General features: G+C 41.1%; 1 protein-coding gene across 1 annotated transcript in view, besides 1 other annotated feature; it reads left to right on the forward strand.

The window, feature by feature from the left end:
* The first annotated feature begins 853 nt into the window (after positions 1 to 853).
* The window catches only part of CREB5 (cAMP responsive element binding protein 5), a 526,574-nt gene continuing 501,665 nt past the window's right edge, over positions 854 to 25,762 (forward strand). Inside the window, exon 1 of the mRNA NM_182899.5 lies at positions 854 to 974. The gene's annotated coding sequence lies outside the window, so the exon portion shown is untranslated. The remainder of the gene's footprint in view (positions 975 to 25,762) is intronic.
* Positions 12,856 to 13,356: an enhancer, noted in NCBI's record as "H3K4me1 hESC enhancer chr7:28350942-28351442 (GRCh37/hg19 assembly coordinates)". NCBI's record gives its function as "activates a minimal SCP1, AML or CMV promoter by ChIP-STARR-seq in primed H9 embryonic stem cells {active_cell/tissue: H9 hESC(primed)}" and the evidence as "EXISTENCE:reporter gene assay evidence [ECO:0000049][PMID:30033119]".

Below are 25,762 nucleotides of genomic sequence, written 5' to 3' on the forward strand. Positions count from 1 at the left end.
CAAATTCTTTACCCGAGAATTAGCTGCAATAGCCAGAAACTAATGTGGCTTTTCAAATATTTAGGTTTAGCGTAATTATAAATGTACATAACTAATGATTCATGAACTCTCAAATTATACATCTGCGTTTGATTTTATGTTGAAGTGTTTTTAAATCCTCAGAAAATGATGTTACCAAATGTTTCTGGCTCACTAAATGTTCTATTTAAAAAAATTCTTAATCAAAGGCAAAGACTCATCCGGCACCTTCATATAAAATTTGATGAGTGGGAGATACATTTCTTGTAATGTAAATGTAAATGCATCCGGCTGAAGGAATTCAGAGACAATCTTCTGGAATCTTAAACACAATTAATAACCCACCAAGATGATGATCACTGGTGTTTTATATTCCTTCTGAGAAAGGCTATAAGACAAAGCATGGATTGACTGAAGATGGAAATACATGTGACAAAGTCACAGTGTGAATGGACAGGTTAGGTCCCCCATCCCATCATCGTCACTGTCTTACCTGACTGCTTACTGCTTATCATCCTGACGGTGCAGGATTCTTCCTTGGCCAGAGAGGATTTTGCTGGAGTCAGAAATTCAACCAACCGTATTGCCACTGGGTGGCACAATTGGAAGTCTCTAAAGAGGTCTGGGCTTTAAAAGGGCCTCTCCCTCTGTCCGAAGGACTGGGATTTATAAATACTAAAGCTGCCGGCCATTGTGATTGCTTTTACTTTGGGACTGTTTATAAAAGTGAGGGAGTCTGTGGCCTTTCAAAGAGTGTGGATTTCACATTGGAAGCCTCTGTGTTGTTATTCTATAGGAAATTAACTGGAGTATTTTTTAAGTTTGTCTTATTTTTGATCTGATGAATCCAAGGAGTGGAGCAAGAGGCAGATTTTGGACACGGTTATGAGAATGACAGAAACTGCCTAAAGCATTTATGCTCTGGCATTCGTCCCTGTTTCTGGAGGTCCAGTAAGGTAGGCAACAGCCATGTGTAGCTATTTAAATTAAAATTAATTAAGATTGAATAAATTAAAAATTCAGACCCTCAGTCATACTAGCCACATTTCAGTTGCTCAACATGTGGCTACTAGCTACCATATTGTACAATACAGATATGGAACATTTCCCTCATTGCAGAAAGCTCTAGGCAAGGCTACTGATATTCTTTTGTTATTGTCCTCAAAAGAATAGACAAATACTGGATGTTTTTTGCTCATGCTACCTGAAAACCTTAGGAAGTGTTATTCACTAGCATTGATTGTGCAATGTGACCCAACAAACATTTATTTAACATTTACCCTATGTTAGATAGATATATTTTGCAATGCTGCAATGTTGTGTTACCAAAGTTTAGGAGCCAGGGCAAACTAATATACACATTGGATAATGTGTTTGATGGACATCAACATGGTCTTGAAATTGAATCTACATGTTGCGTATTGTAAGAATCAATCTATACCACTAAGATTTTGATAATTAAATGTAATTATTCAGTCAGTCCTAATTTCTCCGGATCCATTTTTGTGTAATGTGTTGCCCTTTTCATCCTGTTTTCCGTTTTGTTATTTATACTGCTTTTTAGCTTTATTTATTTATTTATTTATTTATTTATTTATTTATTTATTTATTTATTACTACCTTAGGTGTTTCATTTCACTCATACAGGGAGGGATGCTCACCTTGTCAAACTGTGACCCTCCATTACCCGTGCAAGGATTGCTTGAACTAGGCTTCTCACCTTCCTCATATGGTGCTAGTTCTCAAGTTTTGGCTCCCATTGAGAATATCACATTTACACACTGACTGAATGGGCTGTGAGAAGATAATTTGCTTGTCTAATATTTGTGTCAACATTCAGGAGTTTTGATTACATTTATATGCCGTCAAGGCAGCTTGGTGAAAAATGAAAATTTCAGGCAATTTTGTCCTTTTCTCAACAGAGCGTATGTCCATCTCCAGGTGGCTGGTGTTGGGTGGACAATAAACAGATTCAATTCTACAGTTATTGAACATGTCTATGTGCCATGCCCCTGTGCGTAGTACCTGTGGGGACAAAGGTGCATTCAAAACAGCCCATGCTTTTGAGGAGTTTTCATACTAGCAGTAAAAAAAATACACATTTAAACAAAAATCCCAGTGAACATTTCCTGTTGCCAAAACGTTTTGAAACCATGGATAGTCTGTGCCGAAACTGGTTGAGCATTAGTGTGTGTGATTTAATGTGATGAAACACATTTCACACGGAGTTAGGGAACTAATATGATTTTTTTATAGACTCATCTTTCTGTAGGACAGTGGTTATCAAACTTGGCTGCACATTAAACTCTCACGAAGGGCATTTTTTTAAAAATACTACTCTTCAGGGCCAACTCCTGAATAGTGGTTGTCAAAGTATGGTCCACAGACACACAAAACCTTGGAACTTGTCATAAATGCAGATTCTCAGGCCCTGGTCCAGACCCCTGACTCAGAGACTGGGTTTGGGGTCCACCAATCTGTGTGTTAACAACTCCTTCAGTGATTCAGATATTTAGAAATTTAAGAACCACTGCTCTAGAGACTGTGATTTAATTGGTTCACAGTAGGATCTACATTTTGATCTTTTTAAAGGCTCTTTTTAAAGGTGACTCTAATATGTAGACAGATTTGAGAACCACCGCTCTAACAGAAAAGTTGCTCAAGCTTACTTTTTGATTAGGAACTGTTCAGGTTGGTGTGACGTCAGAGAACCAGTTATTTCAGCTGTCCTTGGATTGTGGTCAACCTGTCTGGCAGGGATTTTCATGCGTTTCAAGTACATGAGGGGAAGAATCCACTCACTCTAGACTAGTGTGTGTGGGAGCAAACTTTAGTGTTGACCAAAACCCATTGGGAAATAATTCCTAAACTGAGGTAGACGAGTGCTACTCAAACACAAATGTTCATACAGATCACCTGGGGATCTTGTTATTATACATGCAGAGTCTGCCAAGGTAGGCCTGGGCTTGGCCCGAAAGTCTGAAAGTCTGCAATTCTAACAAACTCTGAGGTGCTGATGTTGTAAGCTCTGGAACTTTGAGCAGTGAGTTAGAAATTATGACTCAGGTCCAACCCCGGATATACTGAATAAGGATCTGCATTTTAATAAGATCCTTATTGTCTAAAGGGACTCTATATTCTAGAAAAAGAGAAAGCATTCTCATCTCTGGAAGACACAGCCTGGCTATGAATTTCTGTTGTCTGTATTGCCAGTCCTAATCTTAGAATTAATTGTAGCTTGTCTGATTCCAAATGTTTGTTCTGTTGTTTACAGGTTTGTTTTGTTTAGCTCAGAGGAGGAGGATGCACAAGGCATATTCATGTGACTGAGTTCCCGGGGTTACTAATGTGACAGAAACAATTGTTTAAAAAGAATTTCTTTGGATTTGATGTCTATTCTTAAAAAATTTCACCTTGAGACAAATTCTCTGGAGGTTTGCCAAATAGGAAAAGTGACTGAGTGAAGTCAGAGCTTTGATATCTGGAGAGGGTGTTTTAAATGGAAGCTACTTCAGAAAATAATAAGCAATTGGGTTGGAAATTGAAATTCGTTAAAATAGATAAACTCAGAGAATATTTGAGTGGCCTATGTGTCATCAGAAAAGTTAATTTCTTTCATAATAAATGTGGTATATTATTTAAGCTAAAAATAACAAAATGTGAAATTTCAGTATCCCTATATATCACATTAAAATATTAATTCTCTAATTTTAAAGCACCAAATAAATAGCTGCATCACATTAAGTATTTCATTAATAATTTGAGGGTTTTTTTGGACTGATTTTTGGTTTCTACTGAGAAGACATACCCATGTCAAATTAATTTCCAAACAAACATTTATGCAATTCTCTAGTGAATATTACATGTTAAAAATCTGCCTTAGTTCAAATGATTCACACATGTTAAAGCTGAAATTGACAATGGACTTTAATGTGTTTTTGTCATGTTTACTGTTTGGAAATCAAACTACATGGAACATAATTATCTAAATTGCAGGATTTTAATATGATGAATTCATAGGATTTAGAGCTGGAGGAGATATTAGATTTTGAATCCAATCCCTTCATTTTGTATGTGGGGAAGCTGAAAGCCAAAAAGTTTTCATGCCTCTTCCAAAGTCCCAGAAAGGAGGATTTAGGGTGTGATGTGCTGGGGCCAAAAGAGGCAGGCAAGGCCATGAACGTCCTGCTCAGGAGCTTGTGCACGCCCGCTTTCACCTTCCATGGAGAGCCAGCCCTCTCTCCAGCATGGAAAACAACCACTAAAACACCACCTTTAAAGACCAATGTGGAAAATTACTTTAGGAGAACAGAAAACCACATCTGTTTGGCTTTGGACCCACAAGAATTACATAAATCACCTCTTGTTTGCCCACCAATTATGGTGATTAAATTACTATAAAAATCAAACTTGAAAGAAAAGCAATGCTGTTCACAGAATGATGGCGGAATATAGGGTTGCTCTCCCATCACCCCTCACCAATATTTTTAAGAAAATTCAGAGCATAGGTCTATATTGCTAGTCCTAATCTTGGAATTAGTTGTAGCTTGGGAGGTGCTGGCAGGAGAATCGCTTGAACCTGGGAGGCAGAGGTTGCGGTGAGCCAAGATTGTGCCATTGCACTCCAGCCTGGGCAACAAGAGCAAAACTCCATCTCAAAAAAAAAAAAAAAAGAATTAGTTATAGCTTATCTAATTCCAAATGTTTGTACAATATATGTTTAGTAAGCAGACTACGATGAACCTTATTTATTTGGGTAAGTGCGATTGGTTCTGGACTGCCCCAATTCATAGGCATAATTTTTGAGGCCAGTTGAAAATTTGGGCCCTCACTTAAATGTTGGCACAGTTAACTAAGACCCAATAGAAAAACAAAGTAACATATGATTACATTTCATTTTACAAGATAAAAGCAATAAAACATTAAGAAATACTATAACAATAAATCAAGAGGGGGAAATTAGCCAGCCTTTATCTAGTTAACATTTGAGGATTTTAATGTAGAGAGGCTCTTACCTCTGGTTTTCTAACTTTGCCGATGTAAAAATACATGAACACCTAATAAATGCATATGTGCTTTTTGATTAGGTTGCTTCACACAAATATTTGCATGGTTGCTGAAGATGAACAGGAATTTTATATTGTGTTGGACCTTCTATGAGGCAGTAAAATAATAGGATTGATATAAATATCTAGTTTTGCCTCCCTGTGGCCAATTTCTTACTTTCTAAAACTTTATGGATACAATCCAAAATATACACATGTACATACATATTTAACTTAATGTTATTGCAGATAAGAATTTGAGAAATGTGGACCTGATTAATGTTAATGGGATTTTATAGTATTTTTTGCACAAGTGTTCAAAAATAAAATTTAAATATATGCAAAGAAAAACACACATTTAATTTACATTGGCAGTAAAAGTGGAATAAAATAAATATAGTTTTAGAATAAAAATCAGGCAACCTTGCTAATAAGAGAATAATAAATAGCTCAAAAGAACAGTTGCTTTTTTATGATTCCAATATTTCCATTTGGAATGCTATAATGTGGCTCAAATGTATAAATTAAACAGTGTTATTCTAGTACCTAATGATAGCAAGAATAAACATAAGGCTTCATCCTGTTTTCTTTATCTACAAGTCTTCTATTAAAGATGTGAGCCTGGTCTCAGGGGAAAAATAAATGAGAGTCCTGGCAATTTTTGCGTGTGACCAGAACATAGAAGAATATCATGGTTTAACCATCCACCAAACTATTATTTAAATAAATGAAGATTTATAAGAAAAGAAAATGAATGTATATATTTGGCTCTGTCTCAATCATAGACTTATAGTACAAGAGGATATGTGAAAAATCCATCTAATGACAGGTATGTGGAAAAATGTTCTTCACAAGTAAGCAATTTCCATTTATAGTAGATATTTCATTTTCTCCCTTTTCATCTCCTCTTTCAAATGCTAATACCCCATTGATTAGGGTGGAGGATGGAAGGAAAAGCACTTTCTTAGCCTGCTGGTGGGAGTATTTGTTGATTCTTTTCTGGAGTACAGTTAGGCAATGGTTATGGAGAACCACAAACTTGTTCCTATCTCTTTCACCTAGGAAATCTCAAAAGCAATGAGAGGCATGCATAAAGATGAATGTTTTTGTAAGTCCATAAAAAGAGAAGCCACATAAATATCCAATAATTGTGGACTAGTAGATAAATTATAGTACAGTATACACACACCATGGAATATGCTATAGCTATTAAAACTCACATTGTAAAAAATCAAATAGAATGGAAACATTTCCATGATAGACTATTAAGTGGGAAAAAGCAGGCTGTAGGACAGAAAATAGTGTATGGTTCTGATTTTTATAAAAATAAGTATGTATTTGTAGAAATGAAAGGCTGGAAGAATATACACTGAAGTGTGCACAGTAATTATCTCCGGGCAGGATATGTACTCTGGGAAGTATTTCTTCACTGAAATCTTTCATAGTTCCCAAATTTGCAACATGTTTGTCAAATTTTATAACTAGGAAAAAATACATTTTAAAAAAGTTTAGCTCCTCCAGCCTCTTGTTCTAAGTTACAAAGCTATGAGTTGCCAATCTTGTCCTAAAACATAACTTAGGAATATTTAGCATCTCTCTTTCAGCGAAGTTCTTAAATACACTTCTCTTAAAATTCACATTCATAGTCTCCCCTGTTCTTCTGGGGCAGAACTGTCTTTTTTTTACAATACCTTTGATTTCATGTTGAAACACAATTCTGAATCCACACCTTGGCTTTCTCATCTCCAGTCTTTACAGTATCTCTTGTCCAGCCTTTTGCTCTTTCCTTCTTTCTTTCTTCTTCTCTGAATCTCTCAGAGAACATCCCAGGAAAACCTACAGTCCACTACTGGACATGCCTGGAGGCCAACCCACTGTTTCCTTCGACATCAGTGTGGACGTCAGGGGAACCCAGCTTTCCCCTGGGAATTCTAGCTCTGTAGCTCAGTAGAGCTGCCCCAGTGCTGTGGAGAAATGGACACTTACCCCAAAGCTACTGCATTCCCTTTGGGCATTCTTGGTCTCACAGTGAAGAGTGAGACTAAGAAGACCTCCTGAAGTGAGTCCATTGAATTAATGGGGACTCTGCTATTCAGAGCTCCCAGTAGCCACACATTCTCATCCTTTCCTGGATCACTCAGCATTAGCCTTCATGGTGAATATCATCTGTCTTCTTGTTTTTCTTTTCTTTTTTTTTTTTTTTAAACTTCATTATTTCATTTTAATTGATGATTTCATTCATTCAATTATTTACTTTTGATTGATTCCAGTAACATATTCTCCTTGTGAGCTAATTCAAACAATACAGAAGTATATAAAGTTTGCCCAGATGTAACAACTAACATTATGCATGAACCCATCCAGATATTTGTCTATACACCAAAAATAGTGTGTGCGTGTGTGTGTGTGTGCATTTACACATATGTGTATGGACACGTGTACAGATTTTAATTAGTTTTTTTTTTGCAAAAGTGATAAGCTATTGATAGCAATGTAGGTTATTTTCAGTTTTTCATTATTACAACCAATGCTACAGTTATTCCTGGATGGTATCTTTGTGCCACCTGTTTGAGAAAGCCAGACTCTTTCCTGTGCTCTAGCTGCAACCAGCCAAAGCGTCCATAATTGTAACACTTGCTGTTCATGCCTAGGGTAGGCAGAAACCCACAGAGTGTGAAACTAATACTAGTTGTAATATTTATTGTTTACGGAGAGCTCTTTATGTGCCTGCTGTGTTACTCTTTTCTACACCTTCGTTTTACAAAGGAGGACACTGAGGCTTAGAAGGGATAATAGCTTGTGAACCATCACAAAACTCTGAAATATCTGACTCTGACCTCTGCCATTTTTTTATTCCACCACTCCAGCTTCCCTCTGAAACTATAGCCCATTCCTAATTGGGTTGATGTCTGCCAGGGTAGACTCCCAAATCAAAAATATTTTTTGCTCATCATGGCACAAGATTTTAAATGGGCGATGAAGAAAACTGGTGCCAGTACATACAGATACAGTTTTGTTTTTTTTGTTTTTTTTTTTTTTTTTTTTTTTGAGACGGAGTCTCGCTCTGTCGCCCAGGCTGGAGTGCAGTGGCGGGATCTCGGCTCACTGCAAGCTCCGCCTCCCGGGTTCACGCCATTCTCCTGCCTCAGCCTCCCGAGTAGCTGGGACTACAGGCGCCCGCCACTATGCCCGGCTAATTTTTTGTATTTTTTAGTAGAGACGGGGTTTCACCGTGTTAGCCGGGATGGTCTCGATCTCCTGACCTCGTGATCCGCCCGCCTCGGCCTCCCAAAGTGCTGGGATTACAGGCGTGAGCCACCGCGCCCGGCCACAGATACAGTTTTATAGATATAAAAAGGTATTCATGAATACATATGAAATGTGAGAATGATGATTGGAGTAGGAATCTAATAGATGACAACATTTTGGTTTACTTGCTTTTGCAGTACAGTTATTGCTCCAGCAGTTTTTACCTGTTCAGATAAGAGTTACCCTCATACTTTTTCTTTAAACTTTATTGGCTGCTATGAAACCTAACAGTGTTTCATGAAATGTTCACTCTCAGCCGATAAAGAGATGGATGTCAGATGCCCTTGCCCCTCCTCTAATGTCCCTTGGCCATGGCAGATGTTGCTTGTGATAGGATGCTTTCACACTCAGCCAGCTCTGTGGTTTGAATACATTCCCTCCAAAATTCAAGCTGAATCTTAATACCCCTGGTGGTACTACTAAGAAGTGGGGCTTTCAGGATCTGATTAGACCATGAAGGCTCTAGCCTCATGAATGGATTAGTGTCTAATAAAGGGGTTTGAGGGGGCAAGTTTGCCTTTCCATCCCTCCCAGCATGTGAGGACCCAGTGTTCATCCCTTCCAGAGGACACAGCAACAAGGTGTTGTCACAAAAGGGGAGACTGGGCCCCTCACCAGGTACTGAACTTGCTAATGCCTTGATCTTGGACTTCCCAGCCTCCAGAACTATAAGAAATAAATTTCTGTTCTTTATAAATTACCCAGTCTAAGGTGTTTTACTATAGCAGCACAAATGGGCTTAGACAGTTGCCATCTGGCAAAGCTCCAGAATCCTTCTCAACCTGGCTTCTAAAATGCCACTGGAAATTAGTTGGACTTAGCTGAGAGCTGAAACCTGTCATCTCTAGATTTATTAAATTCTTGCAAACATGTATTTGCTGAGCACAATGTGCCTGGCACTGTGCTGGGTCCCAGAGGTTCAACTGTGAATGATACAAACTTGATCCCTAGTCTTAGGGAGCTGGGTGAGGAGGAAGACAGATAATGATTGCACATCTAATTCCAAGGCTTTGAATGATTGATGTGAAGAAGAGCAGGGGCTACAGAAGCACACCTTGGGGAGACTTTTCCTTAAACGGAGCCCCTAATGATGCATGGGAGCTGGTAGATAAGCAGGGCAGCGCCCAAGGAGGGCTGCTCCAGGCATAGGTGACAGCACTGCAGAGGCCCTGAAGATAATTCAGGGAACATGGAGAAACCTGGCATCCCTGGTGCCTGGGCATCCTGGATGAGAGAGGTAAGAAGTGAGTCAATGCAGAGACACATCCAGAGCAAATCAGGCAGCCTTAGGGGCCCTGATAAGAACATGAGTCCGTTTCCTAAGGCAACAGGAAACCTTGGAAGAATTTTAATTAAGCAACTTAAATAAAATTGCCTTTAAAAAAATGGGACTGAAATATAAGACAGTCTTTATATGGCTTAGTCCCTTTTCATTTTGTATTATTTGAAGAAAAATTTCAGTTCAAAATTTCCCGAGTGCTTAGAGCACAATATGTAAGCCGCTCTAGTGCTTTCGACTAATACTAGCAAACAGTTCCACAGCACTTACATGTACCAGGCTTTACAAATATTATTTGTGCTTTACAATTACTTAACTTGTTGAATTTAGATATATTTGATTTAGGTATTACTAGTAGCCTCATTTTGCAGAGGAGAAAACTGAGATGCAAAAAGGTGAAGTAACTTATTCAAGTTAGCAAGTGGTAGACCTGGACTCAAACCCAGGCTGCCTGGTTCCGGTATTGTGTGCTGGTGGTGAATGGCTTGCTCCCTTGCTCCCTTCCCTCCAATAGCTTAAAAAGCTGCCTGTCTTATGCCAGTCCCCCGGCACAACCCCTTCACAGCCACCCCTACAAACTCCTGGTCTCATCCTTTCTTGCCCATTGCAGGAATCATATAATGACCTAGGTCTTCATCCAGGTATAAGACCTTTTAGACTTCCGGTTTCGGCAATGAGTTGAGATCTTTTCTGTTTGTCCCTGATGGTTAATTTTATATGTCCATTTGGCTGGGCCATGGGATGCCCAAATATTTGATCAAACATGATTCTGGATATTTCTGTGAGGGTGTTTTTGGATGAGATTAACATTTAAGTGGGTGGATTTTGAGACTTCCATAATGTAGGTGGGCCTCAACCAATCAGCTGAGTAGAACAAAAAGACCAACTATCCCCCCAGCAAAAGAGAATTCTACAGCAGACTGTCTTTGGACTCAAACCGGAATATTAGCTCTCCTGGGTCTCCAGACTGCCCATTTTGCCTTATGGCTGGAACTGTAGCATCGGCTCTCCTGGGTCTCTAGTCTGCCAGTCCACCCTGCAGATTTTGGACTTGCCAGCCTCCATTATCATGTGAGACATTTATTTATTTTTTATAATAAATCTCTTTCTCTCAATGCACACAAGCTATTGGTCTGTTCTTCTGGAGAGCCCTGACTAATACACCCCTGTATCCCTGGCATTTGGCTTAGAGTATGTGCTTAATAAATACAGGTGAAATTAACGCACCTAGAACACCCGCTCACAGAGCCTTTGTCTCAGGCCCCTCTTTTCTCTTGATGCCATAACCATGGCCAGTGGATTTGCCTGGCTTTCTGGCACATGCTTCTGATTTGTGTCCACTTTCCTCTGTATTTCCTTTCCAGGGATAGAGGCTTCCCTGGACCCAGGCCTCCTGGATGACATCCTGCTTAACCCTCACCAGCTTCCCAGCTGGTGTTGAGAGCCAGGCTGGTGTTGCCCTGCCCTCATTGCTGAGCTGCCTGAGTTGATTTTGCCAATGCCAGGAGAGCCCACCTACCAGCCCTAACCCCTCAGGCTGGCTCCTTTTTGATACTGATGCTCCCAGCTAGGAAAAGTTCAGGTTTTCTTCATATCCTTTAGAAATGATGTTTGGATTTTGGTCCAAACCTCTATCCCTCCCTTGCTATTTCCAGGACAAGCCACATCATAGCTCCTGGCCCTACGTTGCCTCTCTGCTTCTGGCTTCCTCCTTCTCTGATTTCTGCCACTGCATCTCAGCACACCTGACATGAGATCATTGAAAGGGCAGGTCATACATGTGCTTAACCATTAACAAGGAAGGAGATAAGGACATTAGTGAGGCTCAAAACAAGGGCTAAGTGGGGGGTCCAGAGAAGGGCGGGAACACTTTCTACTGGAGGAGGGATGAAAGGGTTCATGGAGTAGCTGCATTGTCCTGGGCTTTGGAGCTAAGCAACATTTCAGCAGGAGGAGCTAGACATTGGAGGGTGGACACAGACGCCCAAAGTGCAGTATGAGGTCAAAAGCAGCAAAGAATGCAAGGAGCCCAGAGGATGGGGTGTCCTTGCGGATGGAGAAAGGAGTGGAAGGGAGTAGTGGGGGGTGAGGCTGCAGAGAATAGGGAGAGTTATTTCATGCAAACTTTTACTCAGAATGAGCAAAGGAAGTGTTCATTTGGCCTTTGACCAGACCTGCTTCTGTAAAATAGTAATAGTACCTTGTCTGAGAGTTTATAGCACAAAGATTAGAAAGCAACATTCTTATGCTTGTCTGTTGGTGTTTGGTGTAGGAGCTCTGGACAGAAAGCCTGGAGAACCAGATTCTAGTCCTGGCTGGACTATTAAATAGTTGGAAGAGCTTTGGGGGTCTGAAATCCCTCATCTGGAAGACAGAGATGGGTGGAGTGGACTGGACAAAGTCTAACATTCTTTTCAACTATGAAATTTTTAGCGTTTCACATCAATTTTGCTCTTTGGAGTAATTGCAAGTGCAGGGTGATACATTTCTCTATATATTTGTCTAAGGATTTTTAAATTACGCAATTTCAAACATATACGAAAGTATGTTTACCTAATTGTTAAGATCTTGCTTTATTTGCTTCATCTATTCAGTCCTGTCTCCCTCTTTTCGGTTGAATTATTTTAAAAGACTGACTTCATGTCATTTTTACCTCTACGTGCTTCAGTGTTCTGAATTATGCAGACATTAAAAAGAAGAATTACAAAATCATTATTACACTCGATGAACAGAGCTTTGTATCATCCAATATGCAGATCATAACCAAATTTTCCCAATTGTCTCAAGAATATCTGTTTACAGTTGCTTTGTTTGAATTGTGATCTAGTTAGAGTCCACACGGGACATTTGGTCATTATGTCTCTTTAATCTCTTTTAAAGAATAAATATTTTAGGCCAGGCACCGTGGCTCACGCCTGTAATCCCAGCACTTTGGGAGGCTGAGGCAGGTGGATCACGAGGGTCAGGAGATCAAGACTATCCTGGCTAGCACGGTGAAACCCCGTCTCTACTAAAAATACAAAAAAAAAAAAAAAAGAATAAATATTTTAATGCAAAAGCGGTTTTGTGAAACCAGTAAGAGTGAGCCTACACTGCATTTAAGGAGGCAATATAAACGGCACTGTGACCAGTCACCTCTGGGTTGGCTTCCCATCTAAGGGAGGCAGGTACTCTTTCTATCTCTCAGTTCCTTTTTCATGGACTCTTGAGCCCTTAGGACCTATTTTCAAAGAACTGTGCTGAACTTTAGCTGTTTCTGCATCATTAAAACCAATGGGAACTGAGCAGTTAAAACCCTGGGCAGTGCTTTGAAAACATATCCCCCACTGTCCTCTCTTCCCTCTTCCCGTGGAACATTGATCAGAAACAGACCTTTGGAGCTGTCCTCCTTTTACACATTTAAAACGTTTTTCGGTCCTACACAATGTACTTTATATTCTACCCCAGGAAATTAGTGTAGCCACTGATGTTCTTAGTCTCTTTCTTTAATTTTGACCAGTTTGCCACAGACTCTGATTTAATACTGTGTTAAGACACATTCCTTTAGAAAACAGGGAGTCAGGAGCCCTGGGCGCTGGTCCTGGCTCTGCCATGCCTGGCCGGTGTACTCCTGGGCAAGGTACGGCACCTCTCTGGACTTCCGTGGCTTGTCATTGAAGACCCTGACTAAACTAACCAGTGCATGGAGTTGCTGACCAGAACCTTCTCCGCAGCAAAAGCGTCACGTGGCAGGCACTGTCTCTGCCGTCTGCACTCCTCCCTCCCCAGTGTCGGTCTCCCTGCGCTGGTGTGGCTCCTCCCATAGGCCCTTTGTACTTCTCAGAGGTTTGGGCTGTTAGGACCCTGACTTCTCCTTCCTTTCTTCCACGTCCTGCAGAGCCAGTCCTCCTGTGTTCTGCACCCTTTTGTTCTTCTACCTCATGTAAAGACCGTTTTTTTGAGTTGGAAATGATCTAATTAAGTGAATTCACACCCTAAGATGTAATTAGCTGTTATCAACTTGATGTGCTCTTCCTTTGGGGTCATTTTAATTTCATTTCATTTTAGTGAAAGGAAATACTTAGCTAATTGATAAAAAAAAAAAAAGTGGAATTTTAGCTAGCAGTGCCTAGTTGGCTTACAAGGGTCTTCCTGGTGGCCCTCATATCACAACCCAAAGGCAGCCTCTTTTTCTGCTCATGGATGGTGAGTTTTGAGGGCAGCCAATGAAAGCATATTTGCGAGAGAATGAAATACCCATGATACCTACTCGGATTTCACAGAGGGGGAGGCACAGAGTGGTGGAGCTGCAAGGAATGCTGGCAGGAGCTGAGGGGGCTCAGTGACAAGACCGGTGCAGCCAGAGGTGGCTTGGGAGACCATGGACATGCAGAAAGTCTCTGGTGTACAAAGGGGGAGGGAAGCGGGTGGAGGCGAAGGAACGTGGGTGCTGAGTCTGGCATTTACTGGCTCTGTGAACTTGGACAAGTCACTCAACCATTTTGAGGCTTTTTCATCTGTAAACATGGGGATGGTAATAATACCCATCTCATAAGGTTGTTATGGAGACTAAATGAGATAATTAACGTGAAAGTGCCTGGTAAAGGTAGGTCCAGGTGTCATCTCCAGAAATTAGTCCCAGGTATTGGTATTTTGTTTTATTTTAAAGCTCCTCGGGCCATTCTAATGTCAGAGTTTATAACAATTGCAGTAATGTATTCCAGTTCTCTTTCCATAACTCATAGTGTTGCCAGTGGTCAAGCCTGAGTGTTGGTAGAGCATCAGTTTCTCATTCCAAAAAGAAAATAATGCAGACCAAAGAACCTTATGAGACTTGTGAAATTACAGAATTGAATGGCCATCCAGTTCAATCTCCTATCTGATGGTTGAATGCTCCCTGCAGTATTCTTGACCAGTGGTAGTTTAGGTCGGTGTTTCTCAAGCTCCAGCAGACATTGGAGTTACTAAAACTGAGAGTGCTGAACCTCAATCCCAGAGTTTCTGAATTAGTAGGTCTGGGACGGGTCTTGAGAAATTTCATTTCTAGTATGTACGCAGCTGTTATTGATACTGCTCGTCTGGGCACCACTGTTTGAGAACCACTGATCTAGATGGTGCTTGAATACCTCTAGTGTCAGAGAACTTCCTGCTTCATGAGCCTGCTCATGCCATCTTCCGAGAGCCTGAAGCACGAACACACTTAATCTGATGGAAAGTTCCTTCTCATATGAACCTGAAACCTGTTTTCCTATCCCTTTTACCTATAGGCTGTTTGTCTTGCCCTTTTGACAGTAGAGTTAAATTTTATTCATCATAGTTTTAACAGAAAGTATTTTTATTACTTTTGGTCTGTGATTCACTGTCCTAAGGATAAAAGACAACCTGACTGTATTGGCAGTCTGATACTATGGCAAAAACCTCAAGCCATTCTAAGGAGGAAAGAATCTGATCTATTCCTGGGAAAACAACTTCAATTGAGCAAATGTATTTTGAGTGCCCAGTGTGTTTCGGGGATGGGAGATGTACAGGTGAACAACCAGTTCAGGGATTTCTGTGGAAGGTGGGAATAACCACTGAAAAACCACTCCTCACTCAATGGATGTAGATTTCTAGTGATGGACAACTCAATACCCCTTCACGGTTTTAACACAGCTTTGTGGACTTGTGACCATTTCAGCAACGAAATGCATATTTTGGCACACACGCCACTTGCTGAAGAAATAAAAATTTAATAGACATATATCTGAAAGTTTCTAGCACTTCAGGGAGATTTTGAGATTTATTCTAGCATACCATACAATGAGTTTTATTGGGAGCTGCAAAAATATATAATTTTAATAGAAATAGGTAAGCATAAAACATTGACACCACTGAAAAAATATTGGCCATGCCAAAGCAACCCCCATAAAAGTTTGCAGAATGTTTCAGAAAAGAATAAGAGAATTATTAAGGGCTGATTTTTCTAGTGGAGCTTTGGCCAGGGTCTCATTTTTAAGGAAACATATCTATGTTTCCAAGGAAAAAGCAGGTATTCACTGCCTTTGAAGTGCAGCGATCCTGATGTTTCTTGTAGCTATGTGAAGAAAGATCATGGAGATTGTTTTGTGCAGGTTTGGTGAAAAAGCTTAATTAATGATTAAAAGCACAACAGTCCTGTTAAACCAGACATGTTTTAGGAAAACACTTCAAGATGAGATGACAGTGCCCTCCTACATTCAAAGGCTGGAAATTCAAGTATTAGAACATTCATTACTTTTTCCTTGGAGATGGTGCTGTCTTTATCATCCATCTTCATCACTTGCTCCAAGTTAAAATGGTTGATTTCTTGCTGCTGATTATAGGGCATGAATCTTAGTCCTATGGAGCTTGAAAGCACGATGGCTTTGTGTTCTTCAGTATCTCTGAGCTTCATTTTCATTGTCTGGTCAAAACCAGGAGAGTAACATCTGCCACACAGATTATTGTGATATATAATGTGAAGATACAGACAACACACACAGCACAGTGTCTGATGACCAAGACATGCCAGTATCATAGTTCATATACTTTGGGGTAAGGCTTAGTGAGCAGCGACACACTACCCCAAGGGAAAGAAAACCAGAAGGGCACTTCCTGAAGGGGAATCTTGCTCCAGGTCCCCAGTGTCTCTTTACTGAGACGCTTTACTGAGACAGTTCTTCCCCAACTGGATCACCGGTGTGCAATTTGACCTTCAGAAGTATGTTGTAGAAAAGTGCTGTACGGTCAGTAAATTTGGCAACTGCTGCCAATGGGCACATCAGCGTGTTGAAGGCTGTAGAAAGCCTAACAGTAGAGAAAACTGTTCAACTTTGTTTAATGTAGCATTTTTCTAACCATATTCCAGTGACAGGAACATATTTTCCTGCCTCAAGACTGGTATGCCTCAAAGCACTGTTTGGGAGCTGCTAATCCAAGCCCTTGAAGTCAGTAGGAGATAAGGGTATCTTATCTTATCCTTGGTGTTTAGTGTGGTCCCAGCCTATACAAGGTATGGAACAGACGCTGGGTGAATAAATGGCTCAATGTATATGTCAATTTCCTGATGATTCTTGCCAAGGCAACGACTTCCTGTGGGCACAATTCATTTGTATTGTCACCACCAACAGGGACTACAGCACAAATCCTTCCCACATAAGCTGGCATTCCTACTATGTTGCCAGTTTAATGAATTTTGTTAAAAACAGACTTCTGACCAGCCAGGGTCCTGATTTGACAATTTTATTTTTTCGGAAAAAGTCACTATGATGACTCTGTTTGCAGCAGTTGTCCGAAGCTGAGGTTGCCTTCTGTTAGCCGCTTCTCTTGGTTGGACCTGAGCAATGGGCAGGTGCCAGAGAACTCTGGACAAGAAGACGCTTCCAGCCGGGTGCTGCAGAAAACTTGTTCTGCAAAAGCAGACAGGAGACACTGAATGAAGGACTCTGTTCTCCAACAACAGATTTCATCATTGTGAGGTTCACATGGGGTGTGTTTTCATTTTGTTTTTCCCTACAGTTTCAATCTTCTTTCCTCCCAGAAAGGGTTCTTTTGTGTTTGACCTCGTCCCGACGCGTTGGAAAACGTCCTGCTGCACCAGCTCTTAATTCACCTTCCTGTGTGGACTTGCCTCGGTGGCAAAGTCACACTCATTAACAAGTTCTTCCTCCCTGGGCTCTGCACATCACCCAGCTATATATCTTCCAATGTGTTCCCTTCTGTGGGGAAATGAGCTATTGCCAGAGTCGGGCTCTGGGACACGGAGGACTGGCTCACTGGCTGGCTGCCCTGGTGATAATCTGGAAGTGATCAGTGGAGGAAAAAGATAACACAGCTGTGATTTTCAAGGAGACAGGTCCTGGTTTTTTTTACCTGCCAACCACATTTCCTCCGGGGAGTTTTTCGGCAAGTGCTGTAAAAGAGACCTTTTAATCTTGTTTCAAAAACCTGGAGACCCAAGTTGTTCCAGATCTTGAGTAGAAAACAGGCCGGGGAAATGTGCATTGCCGAGGAGGCGGGTGGGATGCCATTGCGATTCTGTGGCTTAGTTTTGCATGTGCTTGAGAGGACTTGGTGAACTTGGCCTTCAAGTGCTTTCACCCACAAGTATGATATGGTTTGGGCTGGGGGTGGAGGGTGTTGCAGAGGTTGATGAACGTAAATCTGTCAGTGGGTGATTTTCAGACATCTGCCTGGAGCACTTGCAGACAAACATTGGAGTCATTGGAGCCAGGGAAATGCCTGACAATGCCTGGGAAAACCTGAGCCAAAAAGCTGGCCCGGGGACACTGCTGGGCCAGAAAAAAAGGATGTGTCAGTAATAAATAGTTTATAATTTAAATTGGGAGCAAAAAGGAGAGAGGAAAAAAAGAAAGAGACAAATCAATCAGGATAGGGAGCTTGGGAACTAAATATTGTCTTTGTTAGGAGTCAGTGAATGCTGCAGAAATGCACCGCCAGATCCTGGCAGTGTCTGCCATCCATTGGGCATCTCGTATCGCTCCTGCCAAAAGCCTGAGCAACAAGGCCCAGGAAGTCCCCAGTGTGTGGTTTCAGAGATTTACTCAACTAGGGCATTTCATTTTTCTTAGTGTATAACTGGCAGAGTTACATCCTATTTTCTAGCTGAAAATTCTACTGCTTAGTACAGCATGATTGAGTCAACAGCTCTAACTGTGGTTACATTTCAGAATACTTTCAAAATCTCCTCACTGATTCACAGTGCAGAATGTATATGGTACATGGCAGCTGGGTTCCTGTGGCTTCTCCAAGCCTCCATATCCTAACCTTTAAAAGGGGGATGATAATACTTGTCTTGAAGATTGTTGAAAGAGCAGATACACTGTTGGGTCAACAATAAATATGACTTCGCCTACCATAAAATGTAAGATTTTCATTCTGAAGGTAAGTCTTGATTTAATGGTTGTCTTCTCTGGCTGGCATACTTGATACTTATAGAACTGACGCCCACATAGGTACTTGGCAGAAATACAAAAGGAGACCCATCCCATCTCCTCCCTGGCAGTATTTATCTGATGATTTTTTGCATTCTGCTGCCCATATTTCTGGTTCAGTTTCAGTTTCTCCCTGTTGCATGGTGTAAACTGACATCTCACACAGAAAAGGAGGGTTCAGATTACCCCAGGAAAGTGTAATGCAGAGAACTCTTCATCAGTGTGAAACCAGGGTGGGCACCAGCAGTGAAAACCTTTGAATCAGAGGTGGATTTCTGGCTGTTGTTTACCACGTGACAAAGAGCAAACAGGCAGTTTTTCCTTCATTCCACCTGGGGTATCCCATAAACTTCAAAGTTCAAAACACACTTTGAGTGGGCAGGGGAAGAGGCATCTTCCTAATAGCCTTGACTTCCTCATCTCTGAATTTCTAAGGCAGCAATAGTTGACGCTGTGGTATAGGCATCAAGAGGCAAAAGAACACAGGAGCTAAAAGCAATGGATTTGCATTTATTCAGACAGACGTGGCTTAAAGCTCAGCTTCACAATCTACAATTATGTAATTTGGGGCATATTCATTTACTTGTTTGATTCCTATTTATCTTCTTCCTTCATTGTGTTGAGAGAATTAAATTAGGTAATCTATGTAATTAGCACAGTGCACTGCACATTGGTAAACATCAGTAAATATTTTTCAATAATAATGTACAGTGTGTTTTATATTATTGTTCCGTACATGTCAGGCTAATCTCTTCATTTCAGCTCTAAGCACCTTAGGAGAAGGACACTGTCTCTATTTGTTGAGTTCTGTATGGAATGACTGCAGTGTAATTGTACCATAGAGTAGATGGCCATTCAGTATTTGAAACATTGGTCAACTATCAGCAGAGAAAGATGGCTCTTGAATCTATTTAAAGCTCTTTAAGTCCTTTAAAGAAATTTCCAAATACACTTCTGAAATTTGCCAGTAATACCAAAACAATATTCCCAAATTTCCAATAAATTCTTATATTTCTAGCCAATTGTTTTCCAAATATATGAAGTTATCTGATTTTAAAACCTGCCAGACATTCCTAGTATTTATTCCTAGAATTTTAAGTTTGGAATGATTCTGACATTCCAATCTACCACAGCCTATGTTTCTTCTACAAATCCTATGATATTAAGCTCATTCCCTCAGTTCAGATTACCACAGAGGGCTGTTCAATTTGATACATGAATGTTGTATTATTGACGTAGCCAATCTGCAATGTATTGGTTCCAAGAACAGGCGGCAATAATGATGCCTCAGCAAATAAGATGCAGATGTTCTAGGAATATCCATGCAAGACAAAAGTGTGCTGCAAAAATGAATAGGTGCTACTTGTAAAAGTATACAAAATTATTTTCTAAGTTTCAAAATATGTTTACTGCATGCCTTGAGGCATTGGTGGGTTAAATTGAAAATGTATTATTCATTTTAGAAAAAGTATGACTAACAATACACATATTTCCAACATCACTGATTCTCTATAGAGCCTCCCTTCTCTGCTACAATGCCTCACTCTCAGGGTTGCCTGAGACAGGAGTTGGACCACATGGCTTGACCCAGGAGGCATGTTCAGGCTGAAAGAGACTGAGAGACAGAACCAGTTCCTGGTTCAGGGATCGTGCCTAAAATGTCCTGCATCTAGTTCTACAGAATGAAATACTAGACTCTTAGAAGAGGCACAGAATATCATCGTAAATACAGCATCCTATGCTGCTACATTGAAGAGGAAGAATTTCAAGGCTCATCAAAATCAAATTGCTTAGGCTTCTGTAGATTGATAATATAACACCTGGAAATAATTATGTGGGGAAGAAAAACAAAAAGTACCAGAAAAGTCCTCCCAAATATCATCTACTCAATAGATTTTGATTCTGGACTGACATTCTATCTGTGGCACTTCAAGCAATTCGACTAAAGGAAGCCCGCTTATCTGTATGTTAAATGTACTAAGTCAGTGGGTGGAGTGACATATGGGGTCATTCCAATACTCTTTTCTGGTTTCTTTAAGGTCAGGGCCTAGAATGTACCTTGAGACCTGTTCCCCAGCTTGAGAAGGAGAGGGAGCCATAAGGAAAAACTCCAGTGGAGGGAAAGGAAGAAAATGGCATCTCCTAATAGGTGTGCCATATTACATGGCCTGTATAGAAGATCGGTGGGTCAAAGGGCAACTGAAAAACTCACTAGTAAGGGCAAAAAGGGCTTGTTTCTCTTATAGAGTAATTCCTGTGTATCTTATTTATCTTTCACTTGTGCCACTCATTTACATAGAATACCTTTGCCCATAAGTTGGAGTATTTTTACCCCTCAATGTTGGCAAGTTGCAGGGTAGCTTTATGGTAAAAGAGAGCAAAGGTGTGTCGTCCTTTGATTCCCAAGATTCCTAGTGGAAGTATTTTCTTTGTTATTCTCTGAACAAAAGATAAAGAGGAGGCTGGACTTCGGAGTATTTGTGAAAATGCTATTTCTAGCCCTCCATCCACACAGTGCCTTTCGGTGTTCATCTGGAGGTGATGAAGGTGGATGCAGGTGACTCCTCCGCTCTACCCATGCTCACAGCCCAGCCCACTCTTCTCAAGAGTGCCCCACCATTTCCCCATCAAGTCCAAAGGCAGCACCAGAAGGGTAGAGTGAGCATCCCCGAAGTCTGTGTCTTTATTATTTCCGTGGTCTGCTTCAAGTGTTATCCCATGTGCTTGGGGTAATGTGTTTGTTTAATTGATGAAAACTCTAGGTGGCAGGAGGCTGGGAAGGTGGCTAGGCTTTTTCATATTTATTCTCATGGAAAACATTCCCCTTTATAAATCTTTTTGCTACAAATAGTGTTTTTTTTTCTTTTATGTAATTTTCTTAATTTTTAAAAAAATTTTTTGAGACAAGTTCTCGCTCTGTCACTCAGGCTGGAGTGAAGTGGTGTGATCTTGGCTCACTGCAACCTCTGCCTCCTGGGGTCAAGTGGTTCTCATACCTCAGCCTCCCAAGTAGCTAAGACTACAGCTGCGTGCCACCATGCCTGGCTAATTTTTGTATTTTTAGTAGAGACGGGGTTTCGCCATGTTGTCCAGGCTGGTCTCGAACACCTGACCTCAAGTGGTCTGCTTGCCTCGGCCTCGGATATGCTGGAATTACAGGCATGAGCCACCACGCCTGGCCGCTTTTATGTAATCTTGATGTAACACCAATCCCATGTAGTCGGCACAAATTATAAAGTGTGTAAATGACTGGTGAAAAAATAATGCCCTTCTCAAAGAGAAGATAATTCCATTACAGGGAATCTAGGGGCCGTTCAATGCCAGAGGATCCCACCCAGGAAAGCTGGTGGCTGCAGGGATAAAAGCCAGCAGTTTGGAAAGAAACACCTATAAGAACATGGACCACGTAGGAGCCTAGCTTCAAGCTCCGCTTTACCAGGCTTCCCTTCCCCTTTGCTGAATTGCAGCTCCTGATCCTGCCTGCATCCTACTGGCCTGTGTTACATAAAGATCTAGTTCTGGAATACAGGAAATATGGTGGAGATTGTTCTATGTTAAGGTTCCAAGCCAAGTACGGGCCCATATCCTCAGCTAAGATAATTATTGGTGGGTGAATAAATTAGGCTTGCCGACACTTGTCTGTTTAAGCAAAGACAGCATTTTAAATATTAGAAGAATGTCCACTTCACTCTACAGAGTCAACATTATTCAGCACTTCCATTAGCTGTGGATTACCAAAGCAGAAGACAATTCTTAAGTTAAGAAAATTTTATGAGTGAAAAGACAAATGTAAGCAAAGTGGATACATATTCTGAAAGTTTTATGTAAAAACCAAGGTGCAGGTGCAAGTATATGTAATTGATACGTAATGCAGAGAGGCAGAATGGGAGAGCAGAGGAGAACACGGACTCGGGAGCAAGATGGCCTAGGTGTGGAGCATGGCTCTGCCACTGACTACCTGGGAAACCCTGGGCAAATTACCTGACCTCTCTGGGCCTTGCTCTCTCCTCATCTGTACAATGGGGCAATGATAGAACTTGTCTCAACGGATTGTAGAGAGGATTAAACACGCTAGAGCATGTAAAGAACTTGGACACACTGCTTGACACTTAGTAAGTGTTGTGAAAGTATTAGCTTCCTAATGCAAGCATTGTCTTTGCCTCTTCATCCTCTTTTTTTTTGTACCCTTCATCCTCCTCTTCTTTTTCCTTCTCCTCTTTCTGTCTCTTTTCCTCTTCCTCCTCGTCCTTCTTTATTAGCATGATTGTACATGCGAAATGGCCAGGGCTGGCTATATAATTTGTCGAGCACAGGACAAAATGAAACTTCAGGGCCTCTTGTCCAAAAATCAGGGGGAAAAAACATTTCTTTTTCTTCTATCTCTCTCTCATACCCAATCTATCACAGGGTTCTTTGTTGGCTATTTATTGACCCATCTTCTCTCAGGCACGTATATTCTCTGGGCAAGTATAGACTCACAAGTGCCTGGAGTCCCTCCTCGAAATTTGGTGTGTGAGTGTGCGCCCAACTCCACCCTTTGCTGTGTTTGTGTCCAGCCTTTTGCCAGGGGTGAGGTGACAGAGATCACTGGGCTAGGGGCAGGAGAGGGTTGGCAGAGAACCCATCCCAGGGAGGCAGGGAGGTGGTGAGTGGGGGACTGCACAGGAGCAGAGGCCCCAAGCCCTAGTGCACACTTCATTGTTCCACTGGACTTCACTTAGGAGAAACACATTCAAAGGTAAAATTATTAAGAATTTTCAACATGATCACAGAGCGCCGATGCTCCAAGGGGTGGCCCCCTTCTGAGTGTGGGACCCTGTGTCAGATACATGAAGTTGGCACTGACAGTAGCAGAAAAGATGTGAAGTTAGCAATCAACGAAATCCCATTTTGGTTATTAAGTGATTCTTTGGCTTAAGATGTAGAAATTGGATTTTATTATCAGTTTTAGTGAGACGAACACAAATTAGGTAACTCATTTTATCCATTTATTAAACTTAGGGAGAAAAATGCACATTTTAACCAACTGGTCTACCCCAGAGATGTAGTAAAAAAGTAGCTTTTAAAAAGACCTTTGTGCTCTTCTACCCAAAAGCATTAGATGGGCATTTTCCAAAGTGTGTTACTTGAGAAAAGGGTTCTGTGAGGAACAATTGGCTCCTTGGGTAAAACAGAATTAACGGATTTTTGAAATTCAGGACTACCCACTTACTAAGTGGGTAGTCTAATTGTTTTTCTGTTTATTTACCTTAGGTCTTACTCTTTTCCAATTAATCATCTTAGACTTTGGAAGGTGAGGGGAAACATGGAAGCAGAGTCCATTTAGCAAGCTGAGATATTGTCAAATTTCAAAATGAATTTTTAAAATTAAATTTAATTTTTTTATTTTAAAAGTTTTACTTTAAGTTCTGGGATACATGTGCTGAACATGCAGATTTGTTACATAGGTACACATGTGCCATGGTGGTTTGTTGCACCTATCAACCCATCATCTAGGCTTTAACCCCCTAATACATTAGGTATTTGTCCTAATGCCCTCCCTCCCCCAGCCCCCCACTCCCCGACAGGCTCTGGTGTATGATGTTCCCCTCCCTGTCTCCACATGTTCTCATTGTTCAATTCCTACTTGTAAGTGAGAACATGCAGTGTTTGGTTTTGGTTTTCTGTTCCTGTGTTAGTTTGCTGAGGATGATGGTTCCCAGCCTCATCCATGTCCCTGCAAAGACATGAACTCATCCGTTTTTATGGCTGCATAGTATTCCATGGTGTATATGTGCCACATTGTCTTTATCCAGTGTATCCAAAATGAATTTTTAATCTTAAATGTAACTGGCCTCTCAGTTCTTCCACCATGTCCCCTCCAATGATCATTTTCTATAATTATCCACTCCTAAGACCATATTCTTAGTCCCCTCCCTCTGTCCTTTAGCTAACCAACTCTAGTACTCACTAGTAATTCTTCTGCCTTGTTGACGAATTGACCACCAACAAATCATTGACCAGCACTTTAATACCTCCCTTAGTGCCCTCATTTCCTTCTGTATCCAGCTTAATGACCATGCCCTGTCACTAGGAACATTAGCACCCTAATTCTTTCATACCCTCCCCTCACCGAACTTGGCTGGGAGAGCCCCAATCCTGGTTAAAACCCACAACTACCTACTATGTGCCTGCACTTGGTTGGAGAAAAACCCACAACTGTGCTGACTGTTCTCACTTTAAATCCTTGCCCTCAAATCTCAAATGGACATTCAACGTAGCAGCAAATCTTATTTACTTCACTTTTCCATGCTTCAAAATTACTCTTTTTATCCCTTCTCCTCTTCCCTTCCTCCGTGTTCCTATCTTGGGACCCTGCTTCATTCTTCATTGGAAAAATAGAAGCAACTAGGTAGTAATTCTTTTACTTTTTTTCAGCAGTTAATCTACCCATACCCTTTTCCTTTCCTTCTTGTGTCATAAACAAAGTGCCCCTTCATCCTCTCAAGGAGTTATTCTTACTCTGTACCACTTTTCGGCTCCTGAACTCTTATCAGTATCTCCCCTCCTGTGTCACTCACTGTATCTCCAACATCCCTACTCTGTCTAGGGCAGTGAACCCCAGCCTTTTGGCACCAGAGACCAGTTTTATGGAAGACAATTTTTCCACGGACTTTGGGTGGAGAGTGAGGGATGGTTTCGGGATTATTCAAGTGCAGTACCTTTATTGTGCACTTTATTTCTATTATTATTACACTGTAATATATAATGAAATAACTATACAACTCACTATAATGTAGAATCAGTGGGAGCCCTGAGCTTGTTTTCCTGCAAATAGATGGTCCCATCTGGGAGTGATGGGAGACAGTGACAGATCATCAGGCATTAGAGTTTCATAAGGAGGATGCAACCTAGATCCCTCACATATGCAGTTCACAACAGGGTTCATGCTCCTATGAGAATCCAATGCCCGTGCTGATCTGACAGGTGGTGGAGCTCAGGAGGTAATGTGCATGATGGAGAGCGGCTGTAAACACAGAGAAGCTTTGGTCACTCGCCCACCGCTCACCTCACGCTGTGCGGTCCCCTATGGGGGTTGAGGAACCCTGGTCGAAGGGATACACAACTAGAGCCAAAAATGTGCCCTGAAAGCTCCTGTTTAAAGAACATAATATAAAACAAACCTTACATGATCCCATTTT

This window comes from Homo sapiens, chromosome 7 (assembly GCF_000001405.40).
Source record: "Homo sapiens chromosome 7, GRCh38.p14 Primary Assembly".
Taxonomy (NCBI): Eukaryota; Metazoa; Chordata; class Mammalia; order Primates; family Hominidae; genus Homo; species Homo sapiens.